Raw genomic sequence first — 24,108 nt, forward strand, 5'->3', positions numbered from 1 at the left:
CACTTTTGGCTGCAAATCTCTGAAAATCATGCATTTATTAGAGACAAGGGGATAAAAGATGCATTGTGAATAAGCTAAGCCTTCTCTAATAAAATGAACACTGACACCGATGAACTTGCCTCTGACATAATTACCTACAGCAAAGTTGGCTTCTTTTATTCATAAATCCAATTTCAGCAAGCGGAAACCCTAAACTTTCAGCAACAAAAGAAAAGATGAATTTAGATCAAGACATTCCAGGGATCAAGTCAGCTTGGTCAACAGCCCAAGATCACTTTGCACCACAAAGACGGAGGTGCCAACATTTTTTAATCTTTTCAAGGCAAGATAATGACTTTAAATGTCCCTGGGCAAAAAAGAAATGCAGGAGGGACAGCATGTTTCACAAACATTGACCTTTAGCGTAAGAATTGATCCCAAGGAAAAACAGGGATAAGAAAGTAAACCTCCTGGATCCTCCTCAAAATAGCTCCTCAAAATCTGCAATCACAACGGAGAACAGACTGGTCCTGCCTCCATTAAACTCATCACAGAGATGCTAAACCTTTAGGCACAGGGTTTGGGACCTACAAAGGAGTAGACATTTGCCAGCTCCAAGAAAGAAAGAAAGCTCTGTGGTAGAAAGAAAAAACAATTTGGTGATAATGGATACAATAATTTTAACTTCCCATAATTTGCTTAGTGGTCACCTAATAGAATGCTTTCATAACTTTAACAAGGACCCAGAGTATTATCATAACTGCCTTACCAGTGATGGAATTGAGGTTCCAAGAAGATAAATGACTTGGTTAGGATGTGACAGGAAACAAGAATTAGTGTCAGGACTTGATGCTGAGTCATGGCTGACGGCCTCTGCAAGTTCACCCAGACCACCAGGCAAACACACTGACCCTGCCCCAAATGCCTCACCTCCCAGGGGAACTGAGGAAGGCAGAGAAGAAAGCAAGGGAAAATACCAAAATAGGAAGAAAAGACGTCAATATTTCTCCCTGTCCTTCTAACACAGAAATAGCATATAGGGAATTCATTTATAGCACGCATGTGCGTGCGCGCACACACACACACACACACACACACACACACATATAAAATTTAGAGACTGTATTTTTAAATTTATTGCAGGTCACAGAGGCCCTAAGTGGAGGTATCTATAACTAGCAAGGGGCTCTGGAAGGATAGCCCTCCAGTGGAACATTTCTGCTGTGTGAATGCTGCTCCTTCTCCAAATACCCGTGGATAAACTGCCATTCTTCTATTGGGAAAGCAAGGAGCAGAGAATGGTTTCTATCATCATGGTAATATGAGATACCTGAGTGTTTCAGTGGAGGAAAAGCACAGCTTCATATAAATCAACTCAAAATGTAAACATACCACTTAAATATTAATCAAGGTAATTACAGAAAAATAGTCCAGAAAATCGCTGTAACAATCCAAGATAAATAAATGTCCCTTCGCTAAAAAGAAACTCAGAACTCACTTGTTCATAACCTAACTTGACTTTCTTTGCACAACTCATACCAAATACCATATGCTTGGCTGTATCTGTTTGAAATGAAATTATCTAATTTGAATCCAGCGAAGCTACACAACATGCATATTCAGGTTTATGAAAGGAGAAGACTGAGTCCAAGGTAAAAAAGCAAATAAAATAATCACAATATACACCAAACTGAACCATATTATATTTTAATAGAGCAGTTTTCTCAACCATGTCCTTTAGGAAAAAGCAAAAGAGGAGAAAGGGCACATGTGCAGGTAGCAGGTGTGCTTTAGGAGGGACTGTGGTTAAAATGCCTTATTTTTTTTTTAATTTTTAATTTTTGTGGGAGCATAGTAGGGGTATATATTTATGGGGTACATGAGATGTTTTGATACAGGCATGCAATGTGACATAAGCACTTCATGAAGAGTGGGGTATCCATCCCTTCAAGCATTTTTGTTTTTTTTTTGAGACGGAGTCTCGCTCTGTCGCCCAGGCTGGAGTGCAGTGGCACGATCTCAGCTCACTGCAACCTCCCCGTCCCGGGTTCAAGCGATTCTCCTGCCTCAGCCTCCTGAGTAGCTGGGATTACAGGCACCCGCCACCACGCCTGGCTAATTTTGTGTTTTTAGTAGAGACGGGGTTTCACCATGTTGGCCAGGATGGTCTCGGTCTCCTCACCTCATGATCCGCCTGCCTCAGCCACCCAAAGTGTTGGGATTACAGGCATGAGCCAATGCGCCTGGACCCCTTCAAGCATTTTTCCATTGAGTTGCAAACAATCCAAATTACACTGTTTATAAAACTCCTTATTAATACAGGATAGCAATAATGGAGGCGGAGAGATGAGACAGGCTGGTTCTAGGTAACTGCAGGAAGGAGTCTCTCTTGAGTGGGTTTGAGACACCATTTTGCTGTGACAGCATGGTCATAACTTGAGAAGAACATAAAAATGATTTAACACATGAAAAAATTATTAAACCATTTCATTTGACTCATACTGTAGTAGAAACATACATGTGTGAACATAAAAACCTCAAAAATTCACATACCATTAATTCCTACAACTTGGAAAAAGCTAGACTACTGAAATTGGCTTTTCTACTAATTTATAAAGTTTTGTGCAAATTTGTGGAAAATCTAAATCAATGGGAATCTAAGGAAACAACTGCCCTCGTGTCTTGCTGGGAGGAGGAGTCTAAGTGCTGGCCTGCTTGAGCTCTCTAAAGAGAGGGGAGTTGAGTTCTAAATGACAAAAAGGACTTCTTTAACATGAGAAAACAGAACTGCAAACAGAAGACACAGCAAGTGCAAAGGCCCTGGAGCAACACCCAATGCGCTTGTGGAACAGGAGCAAAGCCCAATATTTTTGGTCACCAGGGGAGCAACAAACACAGGTACTTATGACTAGCTGTGTGTCCTGAGGTGAGCTACTTTACCTCTCTGAGCCTTAATGTAACATGGGGCTAATTACTACCATCTTGATAGACTGTTGTGCTGATGTACAACTGACACACTATACCTGTGCAACATTACTGCTACCACAATATAAATATTCCTGGCTTACACCTGTATCTTTTAAGGAGAATATTCTGTAGTGGATTTTCTTTTAACAGGTCATTAACTTCTTGAGGTACTTCAAACTAAAGTGCAAAGACCAATGACAACACCAGACCAACCATAAACACTGATCAGCCAGCTCTGAAGCCTTAACTCAGTGGGAAGCTATGATCCAGTTAACAAAAGTTGGGTTTGTAAATCACTGTTCAAAAATACGTATCTGTATAACGACCAGTTTGCAAGTTGAAAAGCATTCATATGCAAAAACTCAGAGGGATGATGATATTAATTTTTAGTCTCAGAATTTCCCTACCAAGCCATATAAAGTGCTGTAGAAGAAATGAGTGAGAAAACATAAAGGATGCTTTCAAAAGGCAGATACAACCCAAAGTGTCACATCACCACAATCTGTCATTTTCTCAATATGTGTTGAGTAGATACATACACAGTTTTCTATTCTTAATATTTACAAATTTCCTCTGAAATTAGTTAACACTAGAGGTCTCCTGCTTGTAACAGCAACAGGTAGCCAGTCATCTTTTTGGAACCTGCTGACATCTGGTTACATGGGATTGCTCTGAAACTTCATCATTCAGGAAGTTCCTGCAGGAAATATTGTGTTTGACCTCTATGCAAATGACTCTCTGGACTTTCAGAAATCGCTACCGACAGTGCATCTGATGCCTCCAACAAAGACACAGTCCCAAATTTTAACATCAAGATTCTTCCAAGGACAGGGTAAGGATAGAGGGAAAAGGTGCACAGTTGGAAACAGGACTCATCCTCAGAGACTGCCCCAGTTTATCACATTAGGATAAACCGAACGTGTCAGATAAGAATTTGTTGAATTTACTTCGGCTAACACTGCTCTCTTTCTGAGTCTATACCGCTGATGAAAAGCCAGATGTTTTCAATCTGGAAAGCTTAACACTACCGCACAGCAAAACCAGCTGGCAGCAGCCTGAAAGAAAGTGCTTGTCTTGCTGGGAGGAGGAGTCCGAGCGCTGGATTGATGGTCCACAGACCAGACAGAGCTCCCCTGCCCCAGGCCATGCCTACCTTGCTGTTCTGACAGGCAGCTCCAGCAAGGACGGGCCTCATTAGCATCATCTGTCCTAGAGTTCAAAATACTTGAAGAGAAATATTGATACTTCTTTACACATAGATTTCTCTACATATACTAGTTAACTCGAAAGTAACATAAAAATGATTTAACAAAAAAAGATCCACTTCATCTGACTTACACTTTAGTAGAGATGTATGTGTGTGTACATAAAAACATCTCAAGAATTCATATACCATTGATTCCTACCACTTAGAGCTAAAGTGAAATTGGCTTTTCTACTAATTTATACAGGTTTATTGTGCAAATTACTTGAATTTTTGGGACATCTACAAGAATGAGAATCAATTTCGGAAAACACCTGGTATATCCAACTTTTGAGGACCTGAAAAGTAACCTATCTGTTCCATTGTGATATCAGCCAAAAGATCACGAACAAATCTTATCTATTCAGTAAATGCAAACTCCCTCAGTACCACCAATAAGTGGCACTTTGTTGGTTTAGCTTCAAACTACATTTCTTAAAAAAAAAAAAAAAAAAAGTCATGAATACCAACAGTCCTTTAATCTAACAGGCCCGATTTAGTGAGACGTAACTATTGGTGTAAATGGGTTCTCTTACGCCAGGTCATTACTCTCCTCTGTGCATAGTGTCTTTCTCATCAGAAATTCAAATATATACAGCAATGTTTACTCATAAATTACATCAACATTGCAAAAACATTTCAATTATCCTAACATCTATGTCAGATAAGCAGACTGGGGAAACAAAAAATACATGATAGAGAAGAAAGAAAGTATCACTGAGCCACTAGACCAAGAGCAGGGAATTGCTTTTCTCATATATAAGCCTTTGGGGGATAACCCCCAAGTCTAACGGGGAGCAAGAACTCAAAAACTCCTATCTGTCAAATAAAGCAGTGACTGAGTGAATAAGTCAACGCATGAATGAATCTCTGAACTGACTATTAACACAGCAACAGAAATACTGATTTCTAGTATGATCCAGCTGCTGCATATCTTTTTGAGACAGGGTCTTGCTCTGTCGCCCAGACTGGAGTGCAGCGGGGTGATCACAGCTCACCACAGCCTCCACCTCCCTGGGCTCGGGTGATCCTCCTAATACAGGAGTTATTAAGAAATAATTTTTAGGCAGATAGAAAGGGTAAAAGGACTTCTTGATAAGGGTTTTTCGTTTAATAAAAGCAACCTCCAAACTGTTTCTTTTCTAACAGAAAGGCAGCTTGAAGAGCCAGGCTGGCAAGCTTTAATACACAAATGCAGGCGAGTAGAAACTGGGTCTACCTAACACGGCCAACATGGTGATTCCCGCCCTCTTCTCACCAGGTGTACCAAGTGTCATGGCCACCTGCGGATAACACCATGTGTTCAAAACATCATGGCGTCTGCATTTGCATATTAAAAGTCTAAGGTGGGAGGGCCAGGTTTTCACGGGGCTACGTAAATAACACACCGTCTCCTCCAGCATCCCAATATAAGCAACCACTTTTCTGCCGCACACTGGGTTTCTCTTTGTTCCAAGCCCCCCTCCCTTTTCTCTGTATGGGGGAGCTGTTCTCTTCTTTCTTGCTTGCCTATTAAACTTTGCCCTCCTTAAAACCACTCCACGTATGTACGTGTCGTTAATCCTATCGGCATGAAACCAAGAACCCTGGGGTTCCTCCAGTCATCGGAGCCATATCACTCCAACTTCAGCCTCCTGGGTAGCTGAGACTATAGGTGTGCGCCATCATGGCTGGCTAATTTTTGTATTTTTTGTAGAGACAGGGTTTCTGCTGTGTTGCCCAGGCTGGTCTCTAACTCCTAGGCTCAAGCAACCCATCTGCCTCTGCCTCCTGAAGTGCTAGGATTACAGGTGTGAGCCACTGTGCTCAGTCTGCACATCCTTTTATACTGGGAATAGTGAACTGAATCCAGACCTTCACACTGAGGTTTCCGACCAAGTATAAGCAGAGCTTTGAAAATGAAGAGGCGAACAACAGGAGAGGAACTGAATTGTTAGTTGATAGCCTTCACCTATGGTCATAATATCCAGGTTTGTTTCCCACACAGTCTGATCAACATTCTACCTTGGTTGTTCTTTCTCATAAAAATTCCACTCAACCTCTTCAGCTCCCAAGCTCGCAGTGTTCTCTAACTTGCATATCCACTCTGTCAAGAATCACTTGCCCTCCTTCGTGATTAGTTACTGATGGCACCCCCTGGCTCATAGGGGGTTTAGAGAATTAATTAATGTTTGCAAAGTGCTTGTAGATCCACAAGCCGGGGGGTATTATATAAATGCAAATTATTAGCATTATTCTGTTTTCCAATGGGGCAGACTGCCCAGAGCGTTTATTCATGCCTTATAAGAAAACCAAAGTCTCTTTAACTAGGTCTTCCTCTGTTCAAGGGATTGTCGATTTACAACCCCAGCTCACCAACGCCTGCACATCATCCTGTGTTCCAGGCCTTTCGGTTTTTTTTTTTTTTTTTCCCTCAAGGAGCTATTTTTGTGCCCTTGGTTCTTATGCTCAAAGCCTGCAAAAGAGATCAGAACCTACCATGAAAAACATATCCCATCTCCAGAAAGGAGCTTCACATCTCACTTTCTCATCTTTTGGAGGAGATAAGACAGAGGTCTTGACTTTTAGAAAGTTCACTGCATCCCTTGGTGGGACCCTGGGAGGCCCTGGCCAAATTCTACTTTGAGTGATGACATTCTGCTCACCCCAAGCTCTGTGCTGCTTCAGTTGCACAGAGGAGTATTTATTGCTACTTCCTGCCCTTGAATGTTTTGCAGACTTTCTCTATTCTGTTTAAACAAATGCTGTGTTTCACCTGTCAGAGCCCCATCCCCTGGAATAAAGGAGGCCCAGAAATCTAACACCACGGCTATCACTTTTAGGGCCTAGACCCCTGGTTTATTTTGTTATGTAGATTGGATGAGCTATTAATATATCAAGTTTACATGTGTAGTTTCTGTCTTTATCTCTGTTATTTGCACTTCAAACCTGGAAAAACAGTTGAGAGGTTATGTAAGCATTGTCCTGGGTCCTGATCTGCAAATTTCTTTGCCAACTTTTATTGGTCTTTGAAAACTGCATTCCTTTGTCCTAAAGAATGCTGTCTTTCATATCCTGTCATTAGTATTATACAATGTTAGGAGCCAATTTGTCATACAGATCTCCAAACATACTTAAAAAGAGAAAAGGGTCTTTAAATTAGTCTTCATGTATATTAAAAACAGAAAAAGACAAAAGGAAAAGACTGAAATCTTTTAAAGTAATTCCTTCATTTACTGGATTTTTTTTCTTTTTTCTGTTCATGGGCTCATATCTCAACAGTTACTGGATATTTATTGAATTTTATATGCAACACAGACACGGCATTTATCTTTAAGATATTTTTTGCCTCTCATGTTTTAGCTCCAAGACATCTAAGTCACTTTGGTAGAAAGAAGCCAGGGCAGGCAGTGCCCACACCTCCTACTCGAGGCTTCATTTCTGAACTAGAGCAGTTACAGAGAACATCACAGGACCCTGAGTAGGCAGCCAGGTAAAATAATAAAACTGAACACAGTAACATCTTCTATATTATATTATATTATATTATATTATATTATATTATATTATATTTGCATAGGAATATCCATATTACACATTATATTGCAGAGTTTTACAGTTTAAAAAGTGCTTTAAAATGTGCCTCCTTTAATTCTCACAACCCCAGGGGTTACGTATCACCTTCATCTTACAGAGAGGAAACCTTTGTTTCCAAGGAGTTGAGCGGCATGTGTAAAATTGCAGGGCCAGTGAAGGAGCTCAGCCTGAACTTGGGCCCAGGGAGCAGTCAGGACTTGGAGAAGGTTCTCTCTCTCACCCTGCAACCCAAACAACGAGCAGGGGGGAGGCATCACATAGGGGAGGAGATGCAGGAAGAAAAGGAAAGCTCAGGCCACGAGGACACAACTTCCTCAAAACCCAGCCCTAAAGCCGGACGGGGTAGCTCACGCCTGTAATCCCAGCACTCTGGAAGGCAGAGGTGGAGAGATGGCTTGAGCCCAGGAGTTCAAGGCTGTAGCGGGCTATGATTGCACCACTGCACTCCAGCCTGGGTGACAGAATGAGACCCTCTTAAAAAAAAAAAAAAAAAAAGAAACCCAGCCTGCCTCCAGGATGCTCCCCAATCAGATTCCCAAACACTGGGATTTTCAGGTGCAGGCTGGAATTTGGACCATTGTACCCTAATGGTTCCGACCCTCAATCTCACCTCACTGTTGGACTGAGAGAGCCATTCTGGAAGAAGTCATCACCAGGACCACAACCAGTTGCAGAATTTATGTATCACAGTTTCTTGTTTTCCCTCTGATGAGCCCAGAGTAAGCTACCATTCCCAGGGAAGAATGAGGGGAGCAGTTGGGGAACAGGAGGAGGACATAAGCAGTGGCAACCTCAAAAGGCCATGTAAGATGCCATCCTGTGACCCGTCAGCCTCTCCTTCCTCTTCCCTGGGTGCCAAGGACTCAGCCGTCTGTCTCTGCCCACAGACCTTCTGGTGTCAGCCCCTCTCTCCTGTATTCTTAATGGCTGAGGTCTCCCCTCTCCACTCCAACCCTTCCCAACAGGACTGTGACTTCCTAAAGGCAAAAGCAGGGCTTCATTTTTCTTGGTCTTCCCTGTAGAGCTAGCTCCAAGCCAGGCATTCCAAAAATGCCTACTGAATTCGCTCCTCAAAAATCCCAAGTCAAAACCTCCCTTTCCTCTCTCCTGCTGTTTAATTGATAGTATGAACTCACAATTCAGTGCTTAAGAGCATTACCTTCTGGAGCCCCAGCACTGGCCCAGCTGTGAACAATGAGTGGTGTTTCAGTTTATTGCTACGTGAAGTCTTGGGTCCAAGTTTTGGGGGTCCCAGGGGTACATGGGGGTAGAGAGTGGAGACGTTAAAGAACTGCCCTTGAAAGCTGCCAAATGCCTTCACGTTTTACCATTTAGAGATGCTTTAATAGCAGCAAGAGACAGAGTACTGGGCAAGAAGTATAACAGAGCATCTCAGTGCTATTGAAGTGGCTCCACCATGACAATGCAGGGAACTGTCATTTAAAATTTCCATCTGTTATAAACATGTCCAAAAGTCCCAGGCCAGAGCCCACACATTCCTGTACCCACCACAAGTACAACAAAAACAGATGCTTGGAAGCTCCACTTTGAACAAAGGCAGGCCCATTCCTAGTGGTGATTAATTTCTTCTGCATCTCCTCTCACAGGGGGGAAAAATCAAACCACAATATTCATCAAGACATTGTCTAAAAGGGAAAAACAACAAATTCCATGCTAGAAAGCCTTAGCACAAGGAAGTCACAAAGAATCTAAACAACAGTTTAGGGGAGTGATGTAAATTTAGCCCCTAAAATGTTTTACACCTTAACCTCCTTTCTGTGATTCAGATCTCCTCACGTTTTACGGCTAAATTGACTTACATGACATTCACTATCCACATTGGCAAACTGTTTTCCAACTGAATGGAGATCAGTAACACGTTCCTTCTTTTTCCTGGGCAATGTTAATTATGCTCTCCAAAGGAAAGCAGCAATGCTTTGATTTTAAGGTATTCCACTAAATTACTTTAAACCAACATAGTCAATCTAAGATGAACGATATACTATCTCTCTACCGTGGCGATGAAAAACTTCCTGTGACCCTTTCTAGGATGGGACAACTAGCTGTCTGGGTAAATATGGCTGCGGAGGAACGTGGAGCTGCAGATAATTAAAGTGCTTTAGAACACTCGCCAATTGATTTTCCTCTTGTAAAGGTAGCTCAATTGAAATGTTCAGCATAAATCATGTGTTAGAATTATCTTCTGAACTAAGAGCTGAGAGCATATTGATTAATAATTATTTGCACTAACAGACTCAACTAAGGCAATATCATCAATTACCTCAAAAAATTGGCTCAGATCAATCACAATGGAATCGCCTGAGTTGGAAGATTCATTGTCTTTTGTTTGGTATTTAAAGAGATCAACAAAGAGGCAAGGAGGCTCTTGAACACAGTCCTAAGTAAGCACTGCTGGGTTGGTTAGAATCACTTGCAATTACTTCTGAATATTATATTGATCTAGACCTTTTTAACTCAGGAATGTGTCTCCCACGCTTCCACTGAGTGGGAGGTCTTTAGGGTAAACAAACGTTTTTTACTTATGATCCAGGATAACATGCAGAGTCTAAGGAATGCACTTCTGATGACAAAACACAAAGACAACCTGGGCCAGAAAAGAATTGCCCAGGATACCCACCAGCCAACGGTACATGCACATACAAGCTTTACGTACACCGACACATGTGCACACACACCCAAATTCATTCACAGAATAGAAATAATACTATTCTGAAATAATACCAGAAAATACTTCAACCTAGTTTCACACACTTGAATGTGATTTGGAATGAAAACATCACTCCAAAGGGTTGAAGAATTTGGGGCTTACATAATCATCCTATATTCATATGGCAACTTAAAATCGCTTTTTTTTTTTCCAGCAATGATGTTCAGTTCCAATTTTCCAACTCCCCAGAAGATGCTCCACTGCTCCACTCTCTTGCCACCATGGTCATTCCAAGAAACAAATCTGACCACAGCACTTCTCCCCCCACACCCTTCCCAACACAGCATGGACTCTGCAACCTGGTATGAGGGGCCTCTGCTTCACTCCAGTCAGTCCCATGGCTCCCAAAGTGTGGTCTATGGACTCCTAGGGGTCTACAAGATCCTTCCAGAGGTTTTACGAGGTCAAAAGTATTTGATAAAAATACTAAGACATTTCTTGGCTGGGAGCCATGGTTCATGCCTGTAATCTCAGTGCTTTGGGAGGCTGAGGTGGGAGGGTTGCCTGAGGCCAAGAGCTCAAGACAAGCCTGGGCAACATAGAAAGACCCTGTCTCTACAAAAATAAAAATAAAAATAATAAATAACCTGGGCATGGTCCCCAGCTACTTGTGAGGCTGAGGTGAGGGGAGGAGCCCTTGAGCCCAGGAGCTGGAGGATGCAGTGAGCCATAACAGTGCCACTGCACTGCAGCCTGGGTAACAGAGCAAGACTCTACATTACAAAAATAAAAATAAATTTTAAAAATGCTGCTAAGACATTTCTTTCCTTCTTTATGGGGTTAACACTTTGTTGGTGGTGCAAACGCCATAGGGGAGGGGGCAAAACAGCTGGCAACTTGGCACAGATCAAGGCAGCCAGTGTCACCAAACGATACTAGTGGTCACTGCATTTGCCCCTCTGAGCACTTGAAGGAAAATCAATGCCAGCATCACTTAGGCATGCCCTGGATGAGGCAGTAAGTATTAATTTGGTAAATCCTGATCCTGAGTAAGTATCTTTTAAATAGTCTGTTATGAGAAGGCAAGTACATGTTTCCATGACCTACTGAAGTATGATGTTTGTCTCAAGGAAAAGCACCTGTGCAATTGAGTTGTGAGCTGAACTAGCCACCTGCTTCACAGAACACCACTTTTCCCAAAAAAGGACAACTGACAAAAACCTGTTATTCAGACTTAGGCATTTAAAAAGCCATTTTCTTGAAAATGAGCAAAATGAGCCTATCCCTTTGAGGAAAACCACTGACAGTATTTGTTGCCAATGATAAAATTTGAGCTTTCAAGTGAAAATCAGAACTTTGGAAAACTTCTGTCTACCATCATGACTTTGATGGTTGCATAATTAAGATTTCTGTTATCTTTTTTTATTGTATGACAGAGTGTACCATCTGTTGGAGGATTTGCATAACTCAGTGGTCTCACATTTTCCAAGTGACCAATGCATGGTATAAGTAAAACATTCATGGGCAAAAGGGCTATTGGAGGTGCAAGAGAGATGAGCGGTTTTAAGGTAGCTGTAAGAAAAGTTCCCTAAGGTTTTAGGTTTCACATTACAATAACTAGTAAGAAACTACCACTTGTCAAGTTTTGATCCAGAAAAATATCTGCAATTAGATTGTATTGTCTTCACAGACATTAAACAACACAATGAATCAGACTGACTAAAGGAGCAAATAGGAGGATCTTGTTGTCTTCCCTTCATAAGCCAGACACAAAGAAATTTCTAAAAATCTAAGACAATGCCACTGGTCTTACAATTTTTTATTCTGCACAGTTATTTATATAAAATGTATTTTATAATAATACTTAATAAGTTCATTATTGTTCATTTTGAAGGAATAAATGATTTTTAAATTTCCCAGTTTACATTTCAGTGGGAAATATCAACAGATATTTACCCAAATAATAAACTAAATGCCCTTTGAGGTTCTCAACAGTTTTTAAGAGTGTAAAGGGATCCTGGGGCCACAAAGTTTGAGAAACACTGCCGTAGTCTTATCTCTGGGCACCTTCTCACCCAACACAATTTCTGCCCTTGGGAGCCCATGGCCTAAATGGGAGATACACCAGGAAACAACTCTTCAGTGTACTGCATGATAAATGCTGTAACCAGAGGCCGGGAATGCAACAAAAGAGAGCGTGACAAATTCAGCCTGGGAGGGTGAGAAAAGAAAAAACTCTCTGAGGAGTAGGAAAGTGAGTAGGAGTTTTCCAGGCCAACTTGGAGGATGCCGGTGGGGAGGAGCAGAGAAAACAGCATATGCAAAGGCACAAAAATATAAATGGCAGCATGGCATCTCGCGGGTCCTGTAGTTCAACTAGGCTGGTGTGTGGAATGCGGGGAGGAGAGGAGACATATGAGTGCAATGTTAGATAGAGCCCAGACCCCTTAAGACAGGAAAAAACTTAACAAGGGAGCATCAGAAAGGCTTTAATCAGGAAATGTTATGTGAGATTTGTGTTTTAAGAAAAAGCTGTTTCATCAACGGTGTGGAGAAAGGAGTGAGGAAGTGTGTGATGAGATGGGAGAGCAGCTAGGAGGCTACTGCATAAACTCAGGTAAGAAATAAAAATGGCCTAGTGATAGCATTGGCAATTTGCAAGGAGAAGAGGGCTGATAATGGCATCATTAACCAGGAGAGATTTAGAGCGGAGAATAAGCCACTATAGAGGAAAGTTATAGAGCTGATTTTGGAATATGTCGACTATGGTGAATGTGGGGTATCCAGGAAGTGGGCAGCTAGATGTAGTCTGTGCTATAAGTAGAGGAATCACTAACCCAACCAGTCACTGGCTGAGAGGCAGCCACTGAAAGTATCAACGAATCAAAGAGGGAGAGGAGCTCTAATTGACTGGAAGGCATCAGGCCCAAGTCCCATAGGAGAAAAATCTCCTGGCCCAAGGAGGAAACACCAACTGTGACCCTTCTGATTAAACCTAAGTAGACTTGCTGGATATTTGGAAACAGATGTCACCAGCCAGAAGATGCTTTTCAATTCACAGTCCTGCATGGTTTGGTCTGTGCTTCAGCCTTGGGGGTGGGGGTGGGGGTGAAGATGGGGTCTGGGAGCCTAGGGGGAGGGAGGATGAAAGAAGTCTGGCATTGATTCAGAAGGATTCCTGGCCCCGCTGAAGAGACAGAGCAGATCCAACTCCCCAGTGAAGAACAACAGTCTCAGCGTCATTTTCTAATTCCCCAGCTCAGACACAGACAGGAACTTCAGATTAGGGAACCTGAGTCTAAGAGAGAATTTGTACACTGCACATGATCAAAACTTAATGAATGATTTCTCCTCTGTGAGGCCAGCAAATAGAGACTATAGGCTTACAGGCTAAAACACGGGCTCAGCTGAAATTGGAGGAATATGCCATCTGGTAGAAAGCAAGAACTCTCACTAAAAGAAGTGGAGGTCAGTGGAACACTTCAAAATCAGGCATTCTGAAAACTAGCAAAAACCACTTTCCTGCTTGTTTTTTTTTTTTCCTTTTTGAGACAGGGTCTGGCTCTGTCACCCTGGCTGGAGTGCCCGGCTCATTGCAACCTCTGCCTCCTGGGCTCAAGTGATCCTCCCACCTTAGCCTCCTGAGTAGTTGGGACTACAGGCATATGTCACCATGCCCAGCTAATTCTTGTTTGTGGGTTTTGTTTGTTTGTTTTTGTTTTGTTTTGGGTAGAGACAGGGTTTTGCCATGTTGCCCAGGCTGATCTCAAACTCCTGGGTTCAAGAGACCCTCCCACCTTGGCCTCCCAAAGTGCTGGGATTACAGGCGTGAGCCACCGTCCCCAGCCCTGCTTGTTTTTCTATCTGCCCTTTTGGTTCTTGTGTCTGAGACAGAAACAGCACCAACCTTAGAAGACAGTTTCTGTCTTCTCCACACAGATCTTATATTTCTTCAGTACTTTGCTTGTTGCTTAATGCTTCGTAAAAAAAATTTTCATCTACTTAAACAATAGGCTTCTAAACTGAGACCAAATTCCTCTCCTCCTCTTCTGTCCCTGGCACAGCTGGAGGTTGGACTGGACTCACATGGCCCCAAAGAGTAAAGGTGACCTCCTGGACGTCAGAGTGTGGAGGGGCTGTTGATGGCACAGGCCGGCATCCTTCCTGTCTTGCTCCTAGAATGTTCTTAAGATCCAGGGATAACTAGATGCCTGTGATCTGTGTTATCTCCAGGCTTTCTAAGAACCCATGAAATCCAAGTACCACGTGCCATTTCTATGAATGGGATAGAAATAGTGATCCACACATCCACCCACTCTCACTCTCAAATTATCATGCCCGCCTCTCTAAGTCTGTTTTTGAGGTAAAGGCATTAAAACTAGAACGTATTTTTATGACATTCCAATTCTTAGCTTAAACCCAATTTTAAAGTTTAACTGAACCAGGGCAAGCTCCTAAAACTGATTTTTGGAGCTTTGAAGGAAATGGAAGTACTGCTAAGGACAAGCTTCTCAGAATTATACAAAACACCTTTTGAATTAAACAAGTAAATTCTTTCCACTGAAGTATCTAATTTGAATTTAAACATTTCTTTACATGCTACCTTAATTAGATGCACGTTTCTCTCAGTATCTTAATTTTATGCATTTTACACTTCTAAGCAGCTTGCTAGTGAGGATTGCTTATTTGCATTCATTTACATACAATTTGCAAGAAATGTTGAAAAACCTAGAAAGGGAGAGATTGTAAATTCATGGATTTTTCCCTAAATAAAAATGTCAGTTCTATGAAGAAACAAACAGTGCATTTTTTCCCCTTGCTTACCTATAGTACTTTCAAAACTACTTTTACTATTTGTATACACAAAGAGATCCATTTAATGAATATTGGAATAGGAAGATTTTCCCCTGCAAGTTAATAACAATGATGAAAAAGGCTCCAAACTTCTAACGGCCTTCTTACCAAGAAGATGAAACATCCTCAAGCAGATGATGCCTCCCGACAAATATTATTTGCAAAGTGCATCTTCTCATACAATAAGGACATATTTGATCAATTCTGCTCTAAAGATTCATTCAATTTAAAACCTATTTCTTTTAGCAATGGGTAGTTTATTCTGTATGACTTTCGCTTCAGTTAATTGGATTTTCTGCACTTCCCTCTCTTCTCTTCAGCTCGAATTTATATTCACAATAATTCCTGCCCATCTTTACAAGAGCTCTAAGTGAAGCTGGAGGACCAGCGTGGGCCACCCTTTATGAGAGAAAATTCAGTTGGCTATTTTTCAGAGATGGAGGCTGTTGATACTTTCCTGGTTTTCAATGCCCTGAATTTTCTACTAACATCACAAACTACGGGGTGCTCCTCCTCCTGTGACCCTGGGCATGGGCTTGGACAGGGCTCTGGAAATAGATTTCCTATAGCAGCTGCTTCTGCAAGGACTGCAGAAGAAGCAAAATGGTAGAAAAGCCTCCAACATTAAAATTTTATCTCTCCGATTTCACTGGAACATGGCAGGGAGCTCCCCCACCCAAGCTTCATAAATAACCACTGCACTTCCAGAAGGCTCTCCCTCTACATATTGAGAGTAATTTTAGGTTACTGCTCTGAGCTTCACAGAAGAAAGCTGCTTCTCCAAAATAAGACATACTAAGCAAAATTTGAGTTGTGACATTCTTCTAGTTGTAAAATAATGTTATCTGGCAGATGGAGTTTATCCTTGAGAAACAGTTGAAAAGGCAGACGTGGAAGTTGCCCACCCAGAGCAGTAACAGGAGGCACACCCACCACTGTTTCAGAAAGCTCCTGACACAGCACACAGCAGGTTCAGGAGCTGCCTGTGTGGCCCGAGCCGCTCTTGTACGTCCCTGTGCCTCACTCCTCCTGATGTAAAACCAAGATCGCACAGAGAAAGCAAAAAACAGATGCTGCACTTGAGATGATCTCTCTAAAGTAAACAAATTAGGGAATTTATGCATCAACTGTGGTTTCTGGAAATCAGTTGGAACTGTTTCGTAAAATAACTCAAGACATCACTATGAATACCCTGGAATATGCCAAAGCTTTTTTTTTTTTTTTTTTTTCTTAAATTAACACTTTTTTTTCCCCTCCATGTTCAAGGCAGTGTTAGGTGGATAATGGGGAGATGGACTGAAGATGAAATGTGTAAGTTATTATTCATAGTCCCTGAAGGGGATCAATCTCCATGCTTAAAAATACTTAAGAGTTTCTTAGATAGTTATAGTTAAATACTTAACAGTTTATAGTTTATTAAGAATACTTACTAGTTTACTGTCATTGAATACTTAAACTATATAGCTGAGGTGATTACATGTATTAGCAAAAGTAAAATTTGATGAACTTTATCTAAGATAAAATTTCAACTTCTGTTTACTTATAAAACAGATGTGCCACATTGGGCCTGGCAGAATAAGCCTGTCCTGATTTTGTACCTTCCTATCTCAAGATATACCAACGTAATTTCTCTATGTAAAATTAATAGGAGAATCCAAATTGCTTTACTTCACAAATAAATATGCCAAACAATGTCTCTTAAGGAAAACTGCAATCAATAATTAACGGAGTAGCTGCAAAATAAGTTGCAAAAAGTTGAACACAATTAATCCAATGTTTATGCTTTCTTTAATAAATATTCATCTTTTCTAATCCTAACTTCAAGACAAACTTAATTATTTTTGTATGCCCACTTTCAGACTTGTAATAGGATCCTCAGGGCTGACAGGGGATTTTCTTCACCACACTGAGCAAAGTGTCTACTCTTTTCTTTGTTGTTCAAGTAGTGCCTGGCACTTAGAACTGGCATTCTGTGCATATAATGAATACAATGCACATGCACAGAACGCCTGCTACAAATACACACACACACACACGTACTAAAACGAGTAGTAACTGACAACACACAGTAACATGCTAGGTGCTTATCAGAGAAAAATCCTTTAAACAGACATAATCAAAAGAAACACATCAAAGGCAAACACTTCTGGAGTGCTTATGTATTGGACAGGAAACACATTCTCCATCCTCAAGAAATCAGCTCCAGTTTAAGAGACAAGATGTTTACATAACTAAGAATATAAGGCATCACATGTTCCGAGAAGAATGAGAAGGGACAGAAGGTGACATAGAGGCAACACTGAAAACATGTATTTAGAGTCATGTGGATGGGCACAAACATCCCAATCCAAATTTTAGGAAGAGGTATGTGATGACATCAAATAGCACAGGACAGAGTGTATCACTGCAAACCTGAAAATCTTGCCACTCGCTAGCTATGAAAATGAGGCCAAGCTCCTTAACCATTACCTCAAACCTTAGTTTCCTGGTACGGTACACGTGGATAACAGTGGTAACTCACAGAGTTGCTGTGAAAGTGAAATGCTGTGAAAACTAAACCCACGTAAAGGGCTTATGCAGTGCCTGGGGCACAGAATATGCATTCAAGAAATATTAGCTATAATAGAATTGGTTTACTTTAAACTTACTTCACCCTTTCTTAGCCCAATTATTCATACTTCTGCCACTTAATTTGCTCTCATCATGACTCTTCCTATCCCTTTAATCAATTCTGTTGCTGGCCTGTGAGCTCCTTTGTCTATAGCTTTCTAGAAATAAGTGACCCAGACAGAGTTCTGTATTCCTGTGCTCTGCAGGGTTACGTGGCGTACAATGACCACATCTCCACTTTGTGACATAATACATAATACCTTTGAATAGAGTGCTTTAAGCTCCGCTTGTTAATACCCCATCAACTCCAGTTAAAGAGCACTCTCATTTGAGAGTCACTTAAAAAAATCACCTTTATTCTTAATATCTTGGAATCTCCTTATATTGCACTGGTTCTTATGTTGATGACAATTTTTGATACCAGACAGGATGGTCCTAGCTCCCATCTTAAATTGAACAATGCTTGAGAGAAATGATTTTCATGACAGTAGTATTTCTTGTTACTTAGTTTTGCCTGTATTGTCTTTTGAGTTACAAATACTTTGTACCCTTTTCTTTTTTTTTTTTTTTTTTTTTTTGAGACGGAGTCTCGCTCTGTCGCCCAGGCTGGAGTGCAGTGGCTCGATCTTGGCTCACTGCAAGCTCTGCCTCCTGGGTTCATGCCATTCTCCTGCCTCAGCCTCCCGAGTAGCTGGGACTACAGGTGCCCGCCACCACACTTGGCTAATTTTCTGTATTTTTAGTAGAGACAGGGTTACACCGTGTTAGCCAGGATGGTCTCTATCTCCTGACCTCATGATCCGCCCACCTTGGCCTCCCAGAGTGCCCTTTTCTGTTCTGATTGCTAATGTAGGTAAGAAGGAGACCAGCCCTAAGGCCTGTGTCTGGGTGACAGCCCACGAGGTGCCTCCCATGCTAATTCTTTTGATACTGGCGTTACTATGAACCGCAAGCTTTGTCTGTCCATCCACCTCACGAAATGGCTGGTGGTATCTGGAGGCCAGGGAGGCATTATGCTTTGCCATCCTGTGCCTTCCCATCTGCACCCACTACACGAGCAATGTTCAGCTCAAAACCAAGTTAAATTAATATGAAGAATGCAGGGTCTTCAAAAACTGTGTTCTCCTCCCGATTTAAAGTGTGTGTATGTACACACACTTAGCTCATAATCTTAAACGATCTATCACAGTGACCAAATACCAGCTATTTTTAGGAAAAATGCTTGCTTGCTTCTCAAGATTGAGTTGGCTTCTGAGTATTCACAGATGCTCTTCATGTGTTAACTACTCAATCTGAGGGAACTGATTGGACCAGGCCTGGAATGAAACCTTCCCCCGACTGGTTTTTGTCCACGAACTCCTAGTTCAGAATGAACACTTAGGACTACACGTTCTCCTCTCAGAAGAAACACAGGCCACCCGCCCATTCCCACCAAACAAACCTCCTCAGCAATCAACCTCCAAGCTTCCAGCATGTGTTCCTTTGTCAAAACTTCAACAATGTAGACATCATTAATTTGCATTTAATGACTTTGGGACATAAAAATTATTCCATCCCTTCTCTCTTACTTAGACTAGGTGTATGCTGCGTGAGCTAATAAATTCAGGCCTCCAGGTTACCTTAAAGTATTTTTAACACAAGGTAACTAGTTCTTCGTTTGAATTCTCCACTATATTTTGCTGGGTAACCTTTGCTCCTACTGCAGGAGGTGAGCTGTTATTTATTTATTTATTTTGAGACACAGTCTCACTCTGTCGCCAGGCTGGAGTGAAGTGGTGCGATCGCAGCTCACTGCAACCTCTGCCTCCCAGGTTCAAGTGATTCTCCTGCCCCAGCCTCCCGAGCAGCGGGGACTACAGGCGCACGCCACCACGCCCAGCTAATTTTTGTATTTTTAGTAGAGACAGGGTTTCACCATGTTGGCCAGGATGGTCTTGAGGTCTTGATCTCTTGACATCGTGATCCGCCTGCCTCAGCCTCCCAAAATGCAGGCATGAGCCACCGCGCCCGGCCGAATCTGCTGTTATTTAATAAGAAGCTAAAAGTGAAAAATGGTTTTCGGACCTTGCTATTCACATTGCAGCTTCTAACATTAACAATGATAACAGCAAGATTCAGAAATTAAAGTTGTAAAAAATTCAATAAGCCAAGCAAATAGATACTTTCTAGCCAATTTTAAAATCACTTCATTTTTTGATCTTAAGGAACCATATTAAATTCAGGATAATGCAGCTATTTTAAAAAGAAGATAAAAATCACACATAATGCTGGTGATTATGAGTTTCACATTTTTGTCTTTTTTTCTGTAAACAGTCAACATTCACTTAGTGACTCAGCAAAAGACAGATTTATCATATTTCACTAAGTTCCAACCTGGGTACCAATTTTAACTAAAGTTAATTAAAAATCCATAAGAATGCCTATCTGAAATCACTAATTGGTGTGTGTGTGTGTGTGTGTGTGTGTGTGTGTGTATGTGTGTGTGTGTCTGTGAAGAGATAACTGGAAGGATGATCCTAGAAGATGTCAGTGGGTAGTGGGGTCATTATTATTTTTTCTTTATACTTTTCTGCATTTTAGAATATTTATAATGAATGCTGCCACCTTATTTTAAAAGTTAAAATTATTCTATTTTGATAGAAAATTTTCACTACCTGTCATTTTGTTTTACAACAGTCAACTGAAGTGCACCCTGATGTCCTTTACAGATTACAAAAATTGCCCCAAACAGTCAACCCCTTAGAAAGGTGTCAGAAAACAGGCAAATACAGAGGGAAAGTCAAACAGTCAGATTTAACCCCAGGCCTCCCATGTATTTGGGACTGTGTCACGATGGGTGATCATTAATGCTCAGGAGCCCTGCTCCATTGTGGAACAGCTGTAACAACGTCAGACCAATCTGGTTCAACTTTTATGCAACCAAGCTGTGAGTTGCTTTTCAGTTGCCATGGACTCTCAGGTTAAAGGTCACAAAACCTGGGCATCCCTAGATGATCCAAGCATGCAACCATGGGCAGAACCTAAGCACTGGGACCAAGGAATGGGACTGAATTAAGAAGTGGACATTACATGGCAGGATCCAGGATCCAATAAGATGGAGCTCTGGCATCACCCCATGACAGGATCCAATCAGATCGTGCCTCCCAGCATCACCTCATCTCAAAATCCAATCAGATCGGACCTCATTATCCTATGCTCATAAAATGCAACCCAGGCCCCAGCTTTGGGAGATAGATTTGAGCATATCTTCCTGTCTCCTTGTCAGTCAATTCACAATTAACCTTGCTTGCTATAAAAACCTAGTGCTTTGGTGTTTGGCTTTCTGTTGTGAACAGGCAAATGGACCCAGTTTGGTTCGGTGACAGGGCTTAGCCTGGAGAAGCCACAGGCATCTCACACGTGGAGCTGGTGTGAGGACTAAGGGGTAATTGCCCTAAGCTGACAATCCCCAGTGGCTGGTCAGTGAAGGCAGAGCTCAGAGTTAACGAGGTCATGGCCATGGTTTCATGAGGGTGACCAGGGAGCTTTGTTTTGCCCTACAGCCATGGGCGGCACCCCCAACCCCGGTTACCTTCAGCAAAGCCTGGCCTGCTGTGTTAAGCAAATCTGAAAAACCTGAATAAAAGCATGAATAGAATTTAAAAAAATAGGAGTATCAAACATTTACTTCCTACTAGTTGTGGAGCAAGAGCACCTCCTTCCTACTTTCAAGAATAAAGGATGCAAGCTTTCCCTTCTGAGCAAGTGATTAATGAGAACCGGAGAAATCAGTAACTGGGCCATAAAATGAGGCAAGTCCCTCGTTAGAGCAATTTCTACCTGGCTTCTCCTAGGTTCTTTAGCAACAAAGACTATTCGAATGTGTTACAACTGCCCGACCCCAAAAAAACAGAATACCACATCCATGAAAAACGGTTTAGTGATTCCAGGATATTGTGTTATTATCCTGAGTTTGGTAAAGTAGAGGAAATCATCTTGACAGCCATGAAACATGATTGGTAAGTGAAGATCATGGTCAAAGAAAGTGGATTTTTATAAATGAACTATCTTTGTGAGCTATGATCATGTAGATCTTGGTTACAAATAACAATCATAATCACAATTGATCTCTAGTTATGTTAAGTGGCTTCAATTCATTATCTCAGTTCATCTTGAAAACAACCTTGTAAGATAGGGAGTTTTATAATTCTTCTTTCATGGAAGAATATAGCTTATAGACTTTAAGTAACTGGTATAATGTCACCTAGCTAATTAGAGGCAGTTAGAGCAAGACCCGAGACTGCTGACTTCCAACACCTCTTAAGCAATAACAGGAAAAAAAAAATCTTCGTTTTCCTGCAGACAGTAAACTTATTGGGGGATGGCTGATATTTGTGGTTGCTGCCCAATGGAACTTTTGCCAAAGACTGAAGAGTTAACAAACCCGCAGGAGAGGCAAGAAATGCAAGTCAGGAAATGAATCTGTGGCAGCAGATGGGGTCTATCTGTTTCCTTGCCTCATCTCTAGTTAAGGAGTCTTAGTCTGTAGCAGAAAGAGGAAACTGTTGCCAGCCCTCTGCCCATCCATCACATGGCTTAGTACTTACTGAACCCTGATAAGGCATCAACAGCACATCAGTGATGGTCCAGCCACTCACTAGATGGACAGTAAAAAATAGAGGACTAGCTGCAGACACAGAGTCGTGACAACAGGAAAAGGAGGGGACAAAGCATTAGTTACTAGGCTACTGGCTCTCTCCACTCTAGGGATATTGCTGCATTATGGAACAAAAGCTCACATGCAGACGCCAGGGCTATAAGAGCAGATGGTTTTTCAGCTGGCTGCAGTGGTCGACACAGGCATCTCAATGAATGTAGCTGTTCCTGCATCAGCTTCTGCTATTTCAGAAACAGGGAAGACACTGAACAAACTCTCTGGCAGCTCCTTGGCAACCCCCTGCCCCCCACTGCCTGCCTTTCCTCTCTCCAATGTATGTGTGAGTGCCTGTGTATACATGCAGACACACGCACCTGCCAAATTATCTTTATAAACTGTATCTGTTTACAGGGAGGCCTCTTGGAATACGAAAGGCATGGGATCTAGAGACAGACAGAACTGGGTTCCAATCCCATCTCTATCACCATGTACTATGGGCCACTCTGAGTCTTTAAGTTCTCATCTGTCGAAGAAAGATGCAGTCATGTACCTTGGGGGAGCTCTGAGGATAAAGGGAACCAAGGCAGGTTACTGAGCTAGCAGTGTGGCATACCGCACTCAATGAATGCTGTTCACTAATACTTCTGTTCGTTGCTGCTTCAAGAAAGGCTAAGAAATCATTTTATTTCCACTGAAAAACTTATTGGAAGGGAACAGTATTCTCTCATTATTTAAAAGCAGTATTTTATAACAAACGCAGATCCTTATCTCAGCGTAAAAAGTTTATTTAAATAAATTATGAAGAAATCAAAGAGAACTATAATTAGAAGGAAATGAAAAGCCATCTATACTAAGGGCATAGAATGCTTTGGAGAGAGAAGTTTCAGTTGTTGGTTCATCTCTTCAGAGTGCTGAAAGTGACTCTTTCAAAAGGGGAGCCATGTTTTAAAATTTTATCTTTAAATTAACATACAGTAAAATGGACTTTTTTTGTGGTATGAAGTTCTGTGTGTTAAAATTCAAGGAGTTGTTCACCCAAAAAAGCAACTCTAGGGTATGTTAAAAAATAAAATGAATTTTAACACATCAAGAGATTCATGTACCAACCACACCATCAGGATACAGAGCTTCCATTATCGTAAAAACTAAAGGGAAGAAACGTCGTTCTGTTTCGCAAACATTCACTGAGCACTCACTTCTGCTGACCTTGTGCTGGATACCAGGGAGGAAACACTGAATGACAGGATCCCCACCCCAGTGCACCATTGCTCTTGGAAAAAAGGATCAGGGGGCTTGCAAAGTATCATTTTTTGTTTTCATTTTTACTATTTTTAGCCAGTCAGATTTTAGCAGTGGGGGGTTAACACCAACTTTTGTGACACTAACATTAATAAGTTCTGATAACCCACTACCATCGAACCAGCCTATTTTTGTTTTTTTTAGAGACAGGGTCTCTCTTTGTTGCTCAGGCAAGAGTGCAGTGGTGTGATCACAGCTCACTGCAGCCTCGACCTCCTGGGACCAAGCAATACTCCTGCCTCAGCCTCCTGTGTAGTGGAATTACAGGCACATACC

At 41.6% G+C, this 24,108-nt stretch overlaps 1 protein-coding gene across 8 annotated transcripts in view, besides 1 other annotated feature; it reads right to left on the reverse strand.

Annotated features, from left to right (window-relative positions):
* Positions 1-24,108, reverse strand: part of PARD3 (par-3 family cell polarity regulator) — a 705,736-nt gene that overhangs the window by 68,556 nt on the left and 613,072 nt on the right. The window lies entirely within an intron of this gene.
* Positions 4,815-5,531: an enhancer, noted in NCBI's record as "H3K27ac hESC enhancer chr10:34471859-34472575 (GRCh37/hg19 assembly coordinates)". NCBI's record gives its function as "activates a minimal SCP1, AML or CMV promoter by ChIP-STARR-seq in naive H9 embryonic stem cells {active_cell/tissue: H9 hESC(naive)}" and the evidence as "EXISTENCE:reporter gene assay evidence [ECO:0000049][PMID:30033119]".

The sequence above is a fragment of the Homo sapiens genome, chromosome 10, assembly GCF_000001405.40.
Source record: "Homo sapiens chromosome 10, GRCh38.p14 Primary Assembly".
In the NCBI taxonomy this organism is placed as follows: Eukaryota; Metazoa; Chordata; class Mammalia; order Primates; family Hominidae; genus Homo; species Homo sapiens.